This window comes from Homo sapiens, chromosome 11, assembly GCF_000001405.40.
Source record: "Homo sapiens chromosome 11, GRCh38.p14 Primary Assembly".
Lineage (NCBI taxonomy): Eukaryota > Metazoa > Chordata > Mammalia > Primates > Hominidae > Homo > Homo sapiens.
The window spans coordinates 4,325,796-4,338,005 of record NC_000011.10 but is presented as its reverse complement, the minus strand read 5'-3'; the positions used below and the strand labels follow the sequence as shown (position 1 = coordinate 4,338,005).

General features: G+C 40.9%; 1 protein-coding gene across 1 annotated transcript; it reads right to left on the bottom strand.

The window, feature by feature from the left end:
- Positions 1-7,141: 7,141 nt before the first annotated feature.
- On the bottom strand, positions 7,142-8,216 carry SSU72L3 (SSU72 like 3). The gene has a single exon (NM_001414000.1). The coding sequence runs from the start codon at positions 8,139-8,141 to the stop codon at positions 7,557-7,559; it is 585 nt and encodes a 194-aa protein (NP_001400929.1). The 5' UTR covers positions 8,142-8,216; the 3' UTR covers positions 7,142-7,556.
- Between the last annotated feature and the right edge of the window lie 3,994 nt (positions 8,217-12,210).

Genomic DNA, 12,210 nt, shown 5'->3' with positions numbered 1-12,210 from the left:
TCATCAAATTAAATGAAATAAAAAATGTAAATAAAAAGTATATTCTTATTTCTGTTTGGGGGATGCATTTCAAGCCACTAAGCGACATGCTTTTGTTTAAACCTTACGAATTACACTGAAAAAAAAGGGATCTTTCATAGTGAAAATTTTATTAGGTTTAAAATATTCATTGGTATGAACACTGAGAACATCAGGTGATAAACCTAATGATGTTTTCAAGGAGAAACAATTGAAACTCTTTTTCATAATCCTTGGTAGTGGCACTAAACCATGTTTACTAATAGGAGAAAAATAGATCAGAAGTAGTTGTTCATAGTTAAATTAATTGACATGTTATCTATTGAACTAGACTTATTACGGCAACCTAAAATAACAGCAGAGATTAGCTCTCAAAATGAGTTTATTTGAATGAAGGACTGGAATCAGGAATATACCGGGTATAACAAGTCACAGGTGTATCCTGAGAGGTTAGGGTAAGGGGAAACTTTTAAAGGCAAAAAGAAGTCCACAGAAGCTGCTTTGAAATAAATTTATTGGTCACAGAAGCTCATTGCAGGAGTCGGCATTAGCTTCTTGGTGGAGACAGCCATTGTTAGGCATGTGTTCTTGTGAGAACATTTTATCTGGAATGCTGCAGTCTTGAAGATATTGCAGTTATAGAAATATGTGTGGCCATGCAGAATGAGCAAAGTGTGTAAGACCTGCTGATGGTGTAAAGCATGTAAGATGTGCCATAATCTCTTGTGGGTTTTAGAGAGTCCTTGTGATAGTTCTTATCTCAAGTACACAAGCATGGGCTCCCCTCCTTCATGACCTTCCAGCTCCACTTCATCAGCCTTCTCCACTGTGAATTTACCCTTTTTCCCATTTTCCATGCTGGACTATTTGGAAAAAGTCCCTATGTGCAGCCCACATTTAAGGAGTGGGGACTTGTGCCCTACTTCCTTGTGGGTGGATTATCCATTTAAATTATATGGACTTACTCCTCACAGATGTGTCTATTCTCCCCCTCATTAATGAATTTATTCAATTATTTCTTCATAGCAGTATGGAATCTTGGATATTTATTTTTCTATGTGGGGTTACAATTCGATCCTGCTTTGTTTTGTTGCTCAAACTTTCTGTTTTGGCCATCGCAAGCACTTTCAGTTGCCTCCTGGGCCCTTTCATGTGCCCCATCGTGGTGTTTGTTTGGTTTTACTTCATTTTTCATGGAAAAGGAAACACTCTGGCATTATGAGATGCCCCAGGTTCATCTTATATATTTCCAGCCTCAGAATCAACAATTTCTCCAAATAATCCTGTTTGTATTACTGGAGGACGATGAGAGTAATCAAAATCAAGTGTGCTTGATGCTACTAAGGTACCAGTGTTTTCTGTCCTGCCTCCTTCGGCTACATTTAAATTTTTTCCCTTTGTCTTAATTTTCAGTTTGATTGTGAGGCATCTACATACAACTTTCTTTGTTTTTAGGCCTCCTTGAAGTTCTGTGAACTTTTTCAATCTGTAATATTTTAGCTTTTTCCCTAATTTGAATAATTTCACAATTATTGCCTCAAAAACAAAAATCAGTCCCATTCTTTCTCTCATTTCATTTTGAGACCCAAACTACACATCTGGTAGACCTTTTGATATTGTTCCTCAAGTACCTGAGGATCTCTTTCTTTTCTTTTTTGTTCTTTTTTTCTCACTTCTTCAGTTGGATAATTCTGCTGATAGACCTTATGGTTAATTTTTAGAAGTAGGATTACTGTGGTCAAAGAGATGTATAGGCCAGAAACAGTGGCTGATGCCTATAATCCCAGCACCTTGAGAGGCTGAGGCAGGAGAATCGCCTTGAGGCCAGGAGTTCAAGACCAGCCTGAGCAACACAGTGAAGCCCTATCTCTACAAAAAAATTAAAAATAGAAATTAGCGAAGTGTGGTGGCACACACCTGAGTCCTAGCTACTTATAAGGCTACTTGGAAGACAGAGTAAACATGTTTTTAGATTTATTAGATATTCAAGATGCCCTCCATAGAGCTTGTAACATTTTTCATTATGACGGGAAAACATGCCTTTTCCCTCACAAACTTGCCAGCAGGGTATAGTGTCAAGCTTTTGAACATTTATCAATCTGATAGTTTATCAGGTATGGTTGCGCATCTGTTAACATAGCTGCCAGCCATTCTCTCTGCTGAACACTCGTGCCATTCCCCCATCATGATGTGCAGTCTATTACCCATCCCCTTCTATCCAGGGACATTGCCTTATGACTCGCTTCAACCAACAGACTGAGCTTGAAGTATTACATGCTCTGCTTCATGGATTAGACTTGTGTAAAACCACAAACAAGCCACATGGTGATTACACAATCCAGGTCAGACCTTGGGGTAGATCGGACATGGGGCCGGGAGCTGTGGCTCACACCAGTAATCCAAAATACAAAAATTAACCAAGTGTGGTGCTGTGCACCTGTACTCCCAGCTACTTGGGAGGCTGAGGCAGGAGAATTGCTTGAACATGGGAGGCGGATGTTGCAGTGAGTGAGCCAAGATCGCACCACTGCACTCCAGCCTGGGCAACAGAGCGAGACTCTGTCTCAAAAAAGAAGAAGAAGAAGGAGGCTCTCCCTCTCCCTCTCCCTCTCCACGGTCTCCCTCTCCCTCTCCCTGGTCTCCCTCTGATGCCAAGCTGAGGCTGGACTGTACTGCCGCCATCTCGGCTCACTGCAACCTCCCTGCCTGATTCTCCTGCCTCAGCCTGCCCAGTGCCTGGGATTGCAGGCTCGCGCCGCCACGCCTGACTGGTTTTTGTGTTTTTTGGTGGAGAAGGGGTTTCGCCGTGTTGGCCGGGCTGGTCTCCAGCTCCTGACCGCGAGTGATCTGCCCGCCTCGGCCTCCCAAGGTGCCGGGATTGCGGATGGAGTCTCGCTCACTCAGTGCTCAATGTTGCCCAGGCTGGAGTGCAGTGGCGTGATCTCGGCTCGCTACAACCTGCACCTCCCAGCCGCCTGCCTTGGCCTCCCAAAGTGCCGAGATTGCAGCCTCCGCCCGGCCGCCACCCCGTCTGGGAAGTGAGGAGCGTCTCTGCCTGGCCGCCCATCGTCTGGGATGTGAGGAGCCCCTCTGCACAGCCGCCCAATCTGAGATGTGAATAGCGCTTCTGCCCGGCCGCTACCCCGTCTGGAAACTGAGGAGTGTCTCTGCCCGGCCGCCCAGTCTGGGAAGTGAGGAGCGCCTCTTCCTGGCAGCCATCCGGTCTGGGAAGTGAGGAGCGTCTCTGCCCGGCCGCCCATCGTCTGAGATACGCGGAGCCCCTCTGCCAGGCCGTGACCTCGTGTGGGAACTGAGGAGTGTCTCTGCCCGACCGCCACCCCGTCTGGGAGGTGAGGAGTGTCTCTGCCCCGCCGCCCCTTCTGAGAAGTAAGGAGCCCCTCCGCCCAGCAGCCGCCCCTCCTGGGAGGGAGGTGGGTGGCAGCCCCCTCCCGGCAGCCGCGCCGTCCGGGAAGTGGGGGGCGCTTCTGCCCGGCTGCCCCGTCTGGGAAGTGGGGGGCGCCTCTGCCAGGCCACCACCACGTCTTGGAGGTGTGCTCAACAGCTCATTGGGAATGGGCCATGATGACGATGGCGGTTTTGTCGAATAGAAAGGGGGGAAATGTGGGGAAAAGAAAGACAAATCAGATTGTTGCGGTGTCTGTGTAGAAAGAAGTAGACATAGGAAACTCCATTTTGTTCTGTACTAAGAAAAATTCTTCTGCCTTGGGATGATGTTAATCTATAACCTTACCCCCAACCCCGTGCTCTCTGAAACATGTGCTGTGTCCACTCAAGGTTAAATGGATTAAGGGCGGTGCAAGATGTGCTTTGTTAAACAGATGCTTGAAGGCAGCATGCTCGTTAAGAGTCATCACCACTCCCTAATCTCAAGTACCCAGGGACACAAACACTGTGGAAGGCCACAGGGTCCTCTGCCTAGGAAAACCAGAGACCCTTGTTCACATGTTTATCTGCTGACCTTCCCTCCACTATTGTCCTATGACCCTGCCAAATCCCCCTCTCTGAGAAACACCCAAGAATGATCAATAAATACAAAAAAAAAAAAAAAAAAGAAGAAGAAGAAGGAGAATGAGAAGATTGGACGTGGGAAGTGAGGAGGGAGAGGAAGTAAAAGAGAGGAAATAAAACAATTACAAATAAAGCTATTAACATACTTATAATGTTAAGTTTTTTTATGAAACAAAGTATTTCCCTCATTTTTTGAGTGTTTTGTTAGTCTTCTTATGGTAATTTTAAAACGGAAGAAAAAACACACATACACAAATACAGAAAACCAAACAAAAATAAAGGAGTTGCTTAAGAAATTATTATAAGGCATACATCATGTAATCAAGAAATAGAAATTTGTCAGACACACCTAAAGCAATGTTCATTTGACTGGTCCTTATCACAATATCCTTCTTTCTGGCACAACTCACTTTTATAGTTCAGATTCATCTTCAAATCTTCCTGAAATTTGTATCCAAATGTCATTTTTCATCTTCAATAACCATGTGAACACCCATTTGCCTCTTTCTCTGGCTACTTCCTCAAGAAATCATTGTATTTTCATTACAGTAAATCTAAGTCTTTATTTCCCACTCTACATAGTATATAGTCAGATACGCGAGGTCACCATTACGACTTCCAATCAGAGCTCCCCTCCCTCTACCCAATAAACCAATACTAGAGGTGTTCAACAACCTAGAAAGTCTTCTTACCATATCTGCCCAACATATCATCGTGCCCCATACTTCCCACACCCTGGATTTTTAGTGATTATATAAGCTCTCACTTCTCATGCTTCCTCACAACCAACTACTGCCACAGTTCTTAGCAATTCCAGCATCCACACAGATTATCCACCCAGCACCCTCAACACTCTCACTTCTTCTCCAATTGCACTTGTCTACACCCCACCAGACATACCCATGGTCATAGTCATCAAGAACCTCACCACTAGATCAAAATCTGAAACAGTCATGCCCCAACTATAAGACCACATCTTTCCATTCACTTTTGCTTCTTTATTTAAACTATAAGGGCTGTTTGACCATGCATTGTGCCACAACCCATGGATTCCAGCCCAATCCCTACTTATTCACCCTTTCTGGTCCAAAACCAGGTTTCATCGTTTATCACTATAATTACACCCTTTCAAACTCCCGAAGCTTTTCTGCACCTTGCTCTTCTGTCACATTTGCATTGTCCATGTCCAAACAGAGAGAAAAGAGAAACTCAACCACCTTGTCATGTTTTTCCAAATGGATTGGCTGGAAAAAGTAGTATCTATGGGACAGTCTCACTTTTATCTTCAGAAGAGCTCTCACAAAAAACTACACTCAGGTTTGTATTCCCATATTTTAAAACAATTATCTATGCCAAATATCCTCACCCCATCCCCAATCATGATCCTGACTGCCCACTGCCAGCTGATGGCCTTATCTTAAGCCACATTGACAGAATAGAGAGAAACTATCAGTGAGGAAACACCTCACTGCCCTACCACCAAAACCTTCACTTATATATTTGGACCCAGCCACCCTTAAAATCAGAAATCTGAGAGTGATTCAAAAGTCCTCCTTTTCTCATCAAGAAGTCTCTCATGTCAGCTCTAACATCCCTCTCCAATGTGTCCATTCTTCTGCCTTTTGACAGACACTTCCCTCCCCCAAGCTTCCAACCTCTCCTCTGCGAACTACTGTACCAGCTGGGTTCCCCACTTCCACTTGCCTCCTGCTACCCACGCTGCAAGAGGAAAAAGAATATTTTCTTACAACTTTGAAAGTTTCTGATACCAAAAATGTGAAAGTTGTTACTACCAAGATGAAGTCCACTATCGTCAGATCCAGGTGAAGTGGAGCTGCAGGGTCATGAAGGAGGGGAGCCCATGCCTGTATATCTGAGATAAGAGCTATCACGACTCCCTAAAACCCACAAGAGATCATGGCACATCCTACATGCTTTACACCACCAGCAGGTCTTACACACTTTGCTCATTCTGCATGTTCACACATATTTCTGTAACTGCATTATATTCAAGACTGCAGCATTCCAGATAAAATGTTCTCGCAGGAACACATGCCTAGCAATGGCTGTCTCCACCAAGAAGCTAACGCCAACTCCTGCAGTCAGCTTCTGTGACCAATAAACTTTGTTTTAAAGTAGTTTCTGTGGACTTCTTTTTGCCTTTAAAAGTTTCCCCTTACCCCAACCTCTCAGGATGCACCTACAACTTATTATACCTGGTGCATTCCTGTTTGCAATCCTTCATTTAAATAAACTCATTATCTTTGGAAAGCTAATCTCTGCTGTTATTTTAGGTTGCCATAATAAGTCTAATTCAGTAGATAACATGTAAATTAATTCAACTCTGAACAACTACTTGTGATCTATTTTTTCTCCTATTAGTGAACATGTTTTAGTGCCAATACCAAGGATTACGGAAAGTGTTTCACTTGTTTCTCCATGAAAACATCATTAGGTTTATCACCTGATGTTCTCAATGCTCAAATCAATAAACATTTTCAATTTAATACAATTTGAATCTCTCAATATGAGAGATTGCTTATTTCAGTGTAATCTATAAGCCTTAAATAAAAACATGTGGCTTAGTGGTGTGAAATCCATCCCCCAACATAAATAAGAATATACTTTTTTTGAAATTTTTTATTTGATTTGGTGACCTATTATTTGAGGAGATAATTCCAAATTTTACGATAATCTGTGGTTTGTTATCCAACTTGGGTTTTTTTTTTTTTTCAGTGTAATTCATAAGGTTTAAACAAAAGCATGTCGCTTAGTGGCTTGAAATGCATCCCCTAAACAGAAATAAGAATATGCTTTTTATTTACATTTTTTATTTCATTTAATTTGATGACCTATGATTTGAGCTGATAATTCCAAATTTTACAATCATATGTAGTTCATTATCCAACTTGGATTTTACCTATTAAAGTGAGCATTAGTAAAAAAGATATAATCTATATGTAAAAACATTTATCTGTTCAAACATGTAATATTATACTCTTATTAAAGAAGAACAACATTTAAGTTAACATACCACACTCCATTGGTCTCAACTAACTTAAAAAATTAAAAAATTAAAAAGAAACCACTCAAATTGAGAAAAGGAAGTTTATTTAAAAGGTGCTTATCTATACAATGTTATTTATCTGCTGAATACCCTTAAACAAATCATTTTTCCAGCAGTCCATTATCAGCTCGGTTTGCTTATCTGGAAAATGGCGTCATGGTGGGCTAGCTTCCTTGTAGAATGATATAAGCATGAAATTAGTTATCCCATGTAATGCACCTAGCACAATGCCAAGCATTTTTCAGTGCTTTTAAAAATGTTAGTCCTTCTCATTTCCCATAAAATATTTTCTTGGTAATAGTCTCTTTCCAGGTGATGTGTACAAAAGTCACACAAACAGTACTCAGTGGAAGGTCTTTGCAGATGCTTCTCACAATAAATCCGGACTAAAGTCCCATGCCTAAGTTCTTACTGAGGAAGGGGACAAAGCCAGCCCAGATGTTCAGTAGAAGCAGACGGTGTGAAGAAAGCTTTTTCCTGCCTTCTCCTCCATTTGCAACAGCAGCTCCTCCAGATTGTCTTCTATGTCGTCTGACTGCTGCAGGCACTGGCAAATCTCACAGATGAGGAAAGCTCCCAGGGTGGCATCTTCCAGGGTATCTTGGATGTCCATGTTGATCACGTGCACAGGCTGAAAGGTCTGCTGTTCTCTGGAACACAGATCTTCCACCACTGTGTCATAGACACTCTCCTCACAGGTGAAGATGACATCAAAGGAATCAGTGCACTCCTGAAATCTTTCTGGACCGGGCTTGATTCTCTCATTTCTTCCCAAGATGTGTAAGATTCCGTTGCGGGTGTAGCGTTCTCTATCTTTCCTGAGGAGGTCATTGTACATCTGCTTATATGTTGTTGCAAAATCATAAACTACAGGACGATTGGGTCTTGGTCCTGGTAGCCTCACATGAGATTCAGTTCCAAAAGACCGGACACTTAGCCCTTTTCTCCTGAGGATGCTGTGGGCCTCCATGCTCCTGTTGACATTGCTCACGCACACCACAGCCACCCTGAGTGGGGAGGAGAGCATGATGGTGGCCACTGGGAACCAGAGAGACACAGGCACCTCAGTTGCTGCAGGGACTCGGAGCCGAGGAGACGACCACCTATACCCAGGTCTTCCAAATGAGCTAATGTGGAGGCACAGGAGGCAGGTTTATATTGAGTCACCTGAATTAGTGGGTGAAGATTTCATGACTTCTGGATTGATTAGGTTGTGATAATCGTCTCCTAACTCATCACAAGAACAATCCAGATGATTAAATTACCTAAAGCAGTAACTCTCAGCAAAGGTGACACCACCCAGTCTGGATTCACTTAAAATCTGGAGTTTGCTCTGGTGGTTCTCCTAGTGAATGGGGGCTGCTATGGACAATGGCCAAGACAATTAAGCTACCTGCAAGCATGTCATAGGACTCTCCAGTGACCTTCAGACATTAAATTGGATGATAAACATATTGACAATGTCCAAGGCTGCACCCTATTTAATTATAAATTACAAGTGATGTTGCTTGTTTTAATTTTCATAGTGTTCGAGAAATGCAATTGCATAAATCACAGGACCATTGTACATAGTTTTGTACAGAAATTCACAAAATTTTTCACCAATACAAAAAAAATCCCATTCTCAAAAACATATCTGCTTATGGTATTTTAAGAGTTATTCTACACAACATTTTCTGCATTTGATATTACTGGAATCATAATGATTCTCCAGAGAAGGCAGCAATTGCTGCAAGCCTCTGCCTACTTTAATATGCCTTCAGGTACAGTTGTGTCTTAGTTTTCGGTACTGAAATACAATGTTTAGAATTATTTTTCTTTAAAAGTTTGTAAAATTTATTAAGAAAATGAAGAGATTTTTAAATTATGAAAGGGGTTCCAAACATTAAGGATAATCCTGTCACTTTATAATCAGTCACCTTATGGTTGATTAGATTATGATAATGGGCTCCTAACTAATCGAAACAATCATCAAGATTATTAAATTCCTAAAGCTGCAACTCTCCACAAAGGGGGCCCCACCCAGTCGGGATTTATTTATAGGTTAGCTCTGTTTGCTGTCACTCACTGATTCACCAAAAATTGAGTAAATATTAACCTTGCTTTTTTTTATTAATTTTTCTTAATTGTATGTATAGCTCACATTTTTATCAATGTAAATCAGATCAGGGACATCACTTTTGTCCCTGGTGCAGTGACAAAATGTATCTATAAAGCAATATATTGTATTTTTCTATGTCCTTCTTAAGGTGATTCTTACATTGCAAATACAGCAGGTTCTCAAATAACATCCTTTTTTTTCTTTTTTCATTTTGACAAAGGGTCTCACTCTGTCACCCCGGTTGTAATGCAGTGGTGCCATCATGGCTCACTGCAACCTCAAACTCCTGGGCTCAATCATTCCTCTCATCTCGACCTCCTGAGTAGCTTGGACTACAGGTGTGTACCACCATACCTGAATAACTTCTGTATTTTTTGTAGAGGATGGAATTTTACCATGTTACCCAGGCTGGTCTCAAAAGGCCAGGGGCTCAAGTGATCCACCCGCTTCAGCCTCCCAAAGTGCTGGGATTACAGGCATGAGCCACTGTCCCCAGCCTCACTTAACGTCATTTTATTATAACATTAATGAGAAAAGAATTTGACTTCTGGCGGGGCCACTGTCTCTGTGGAGTTTGCGTATTCTCCCTATGTCTGTGTGGGTTGTCTCTGGATACTCTTGTTTCCTCCCACGTCCCAAAGATGTGCACATTAGGTGAACTGACATCTCTATGGTCCTAGTGTGAGGGTGTGCCCTGAATCCCGGATGGGGTCCTGTCCAGCGTTGGTTCCTTCCTCACACCTTGAGCTGCCGAGATTGGCTCCAGCCACCTGCCACTCCAAAGTGGAATCAGCGGATTGGAAAATGAATGAATGAATACAAATTATTGAAAAATAAAAATTCATAAAATATGTGGTAATCATACAAATGCAAGACAATAATGATCAGAGTACAAAATAGATCAGCCTGCCGTGTCTGTCATTGTTGGTTTTTAACTGTGTAGTAGTAGGAAGAGCTCCTTATAATTTTTTCTTTGCAAACATTTATTCCTTGATTTAACTTACCACAACTACAACCGCTGTCACTCACTGATTCACCGAAATTTGGGTAAATAATAATCTTACTTGGTTTTATTACGCTTTCTTAAATGTGTGTATAACTCACATTTATTTCAAGGTTTAATATTCAAAGTGTGTTGAATCTTTATTTAGAAATTTGGTGATGCTTTTGTGACTCTTGTTCATATCAATTAACCTATGATAAAATTGATTTTATTATACATCATTTCGCTTGAAGTCATTGTTTTGAAGAACCTATTGACCACAGTTAGTGAGTGCTTACTGTATTTTTTAAATCAGTAAACACCTTCAAGTTTCTCAAAGTGTGTGCTCAGCATTAGCCTCAATTGGGAGCTATTAAAAAAAAATGCAAATTTGGACCTCAAACCACTGAATCAGAAACTCGAGTGGTGAAGCCCAGAGATCTGTGTTTTTCAAAGTCTTCCTAATAATTCCAAAAGCCAAAGTTTTAGAAGAACTTCCCTAGAGATTTTTGAAACTTGACTATACATTAGAAGCATCTGAAGAATTGTTAAATGCACTGCTTCGGGCATAGAGAATGAACAGGATTTTCTTGAAAAACCAAATGAGAGGAAACATTCAACATAAATGAAAAGCTAGTCAGATCTTAAATATGTTGTGAAATGTCTTATCAGACTCAATGACTGAGACCTAAAGAAATCTAACAAATGAAAAGAAGAAAAATCTCAGAGACCAGCTATAAGTGTTACTGAAAAGGAAGATGTTTTGTGTGTTTTGAAAGAATTGAGAAACAGTGTTAAACCAAACCTTGAAGACTGATACACAAAGTGGTTGCATATAATTTCAACAGAAATAAAAGGATAATACCGGGAGGATCAGTATGAAATACTAAATGTATCATATAAGTGAATTTCTACTTGAAACACTTCTTAGAGGTAGTACTACGGGTACTGCCTATGTCCTCAGGGGAAATGACAAGGGCATTTACTATGTTCTGCCTCCAAGTGAAGGCACAAAGTGAGACAAACAAAAAAATCCAGGGAAACAGTATGTGGTTAATTGGATTAGATGTTGAGCTGATGGTAGAGTACCAACTCAGAGACATAAAAGTAGACATAATTTATTTAAACACTAATTGCTTTTCAAAGCACCAGACTTCTTGATTACATAAGTCCAAGTATAGGGGAACACACACAAGACAAAACGTGGAGAAGTGTATTAGAAAAACAATGTGATGAGACAGAGAAAAATGTTTCCGCTGCTATTGCGATATCACAAGTTACACAGGACCTAAACAGAAATAAATAAATCTCAAGATTCTGAGGGAGAACATGGCAAAGGTATTCTGGCTTTTAGGCACCTCGAGACACAGGCATCAATAACAGTTCCAGTTCTGGAATCTGCTAAGAGTGATTTTCCAGTTCAGTGATTGTTAACTGTGGCTGGATATTTCAAGACCTTTCTACCAAACTTTTATAAGATGCCAATGTCTGGGACCTACCCCAGATCAAATGAATCAAAATCTCTGGGCATGGATTATGTTCATCCTGATTTTATTTCTTATTCCTGTGATCCCTTCACCCACCCACATTTCAAAATTTATTTAATGCTAGAATTTAGTCTATACACATTTGGTGTAATGACTTTTTTACTGTACATTCCTCGCATCTTCTTTATTTTATATTGTTATTTCTGCCCTTGGTTTTTATCAAGTTGTTATATACTCCATTTTGTACCTAACTTGAATTTCTACTTGGATTACCCACCCCATTAAATGGTTACCTGCGCTTTCTCTGCCTTCCTGATCAGAACACGTTTCTCTAGTACTTATTTGAAAACAAGAGTTTTGCAATGCTCTTAATTCTTTTTCACTTTTCACTGATCCCCTATTCCTAACTTCCAGGTTTTGCCAGGATATTTTGTTAATTTTAGTTCAATAGCCTTAGTCAAATGTATCTCACAGATAGTTCCTTCAATTTCTGAGTCCTTATTTACAACTGAACTTTACCTGAAGT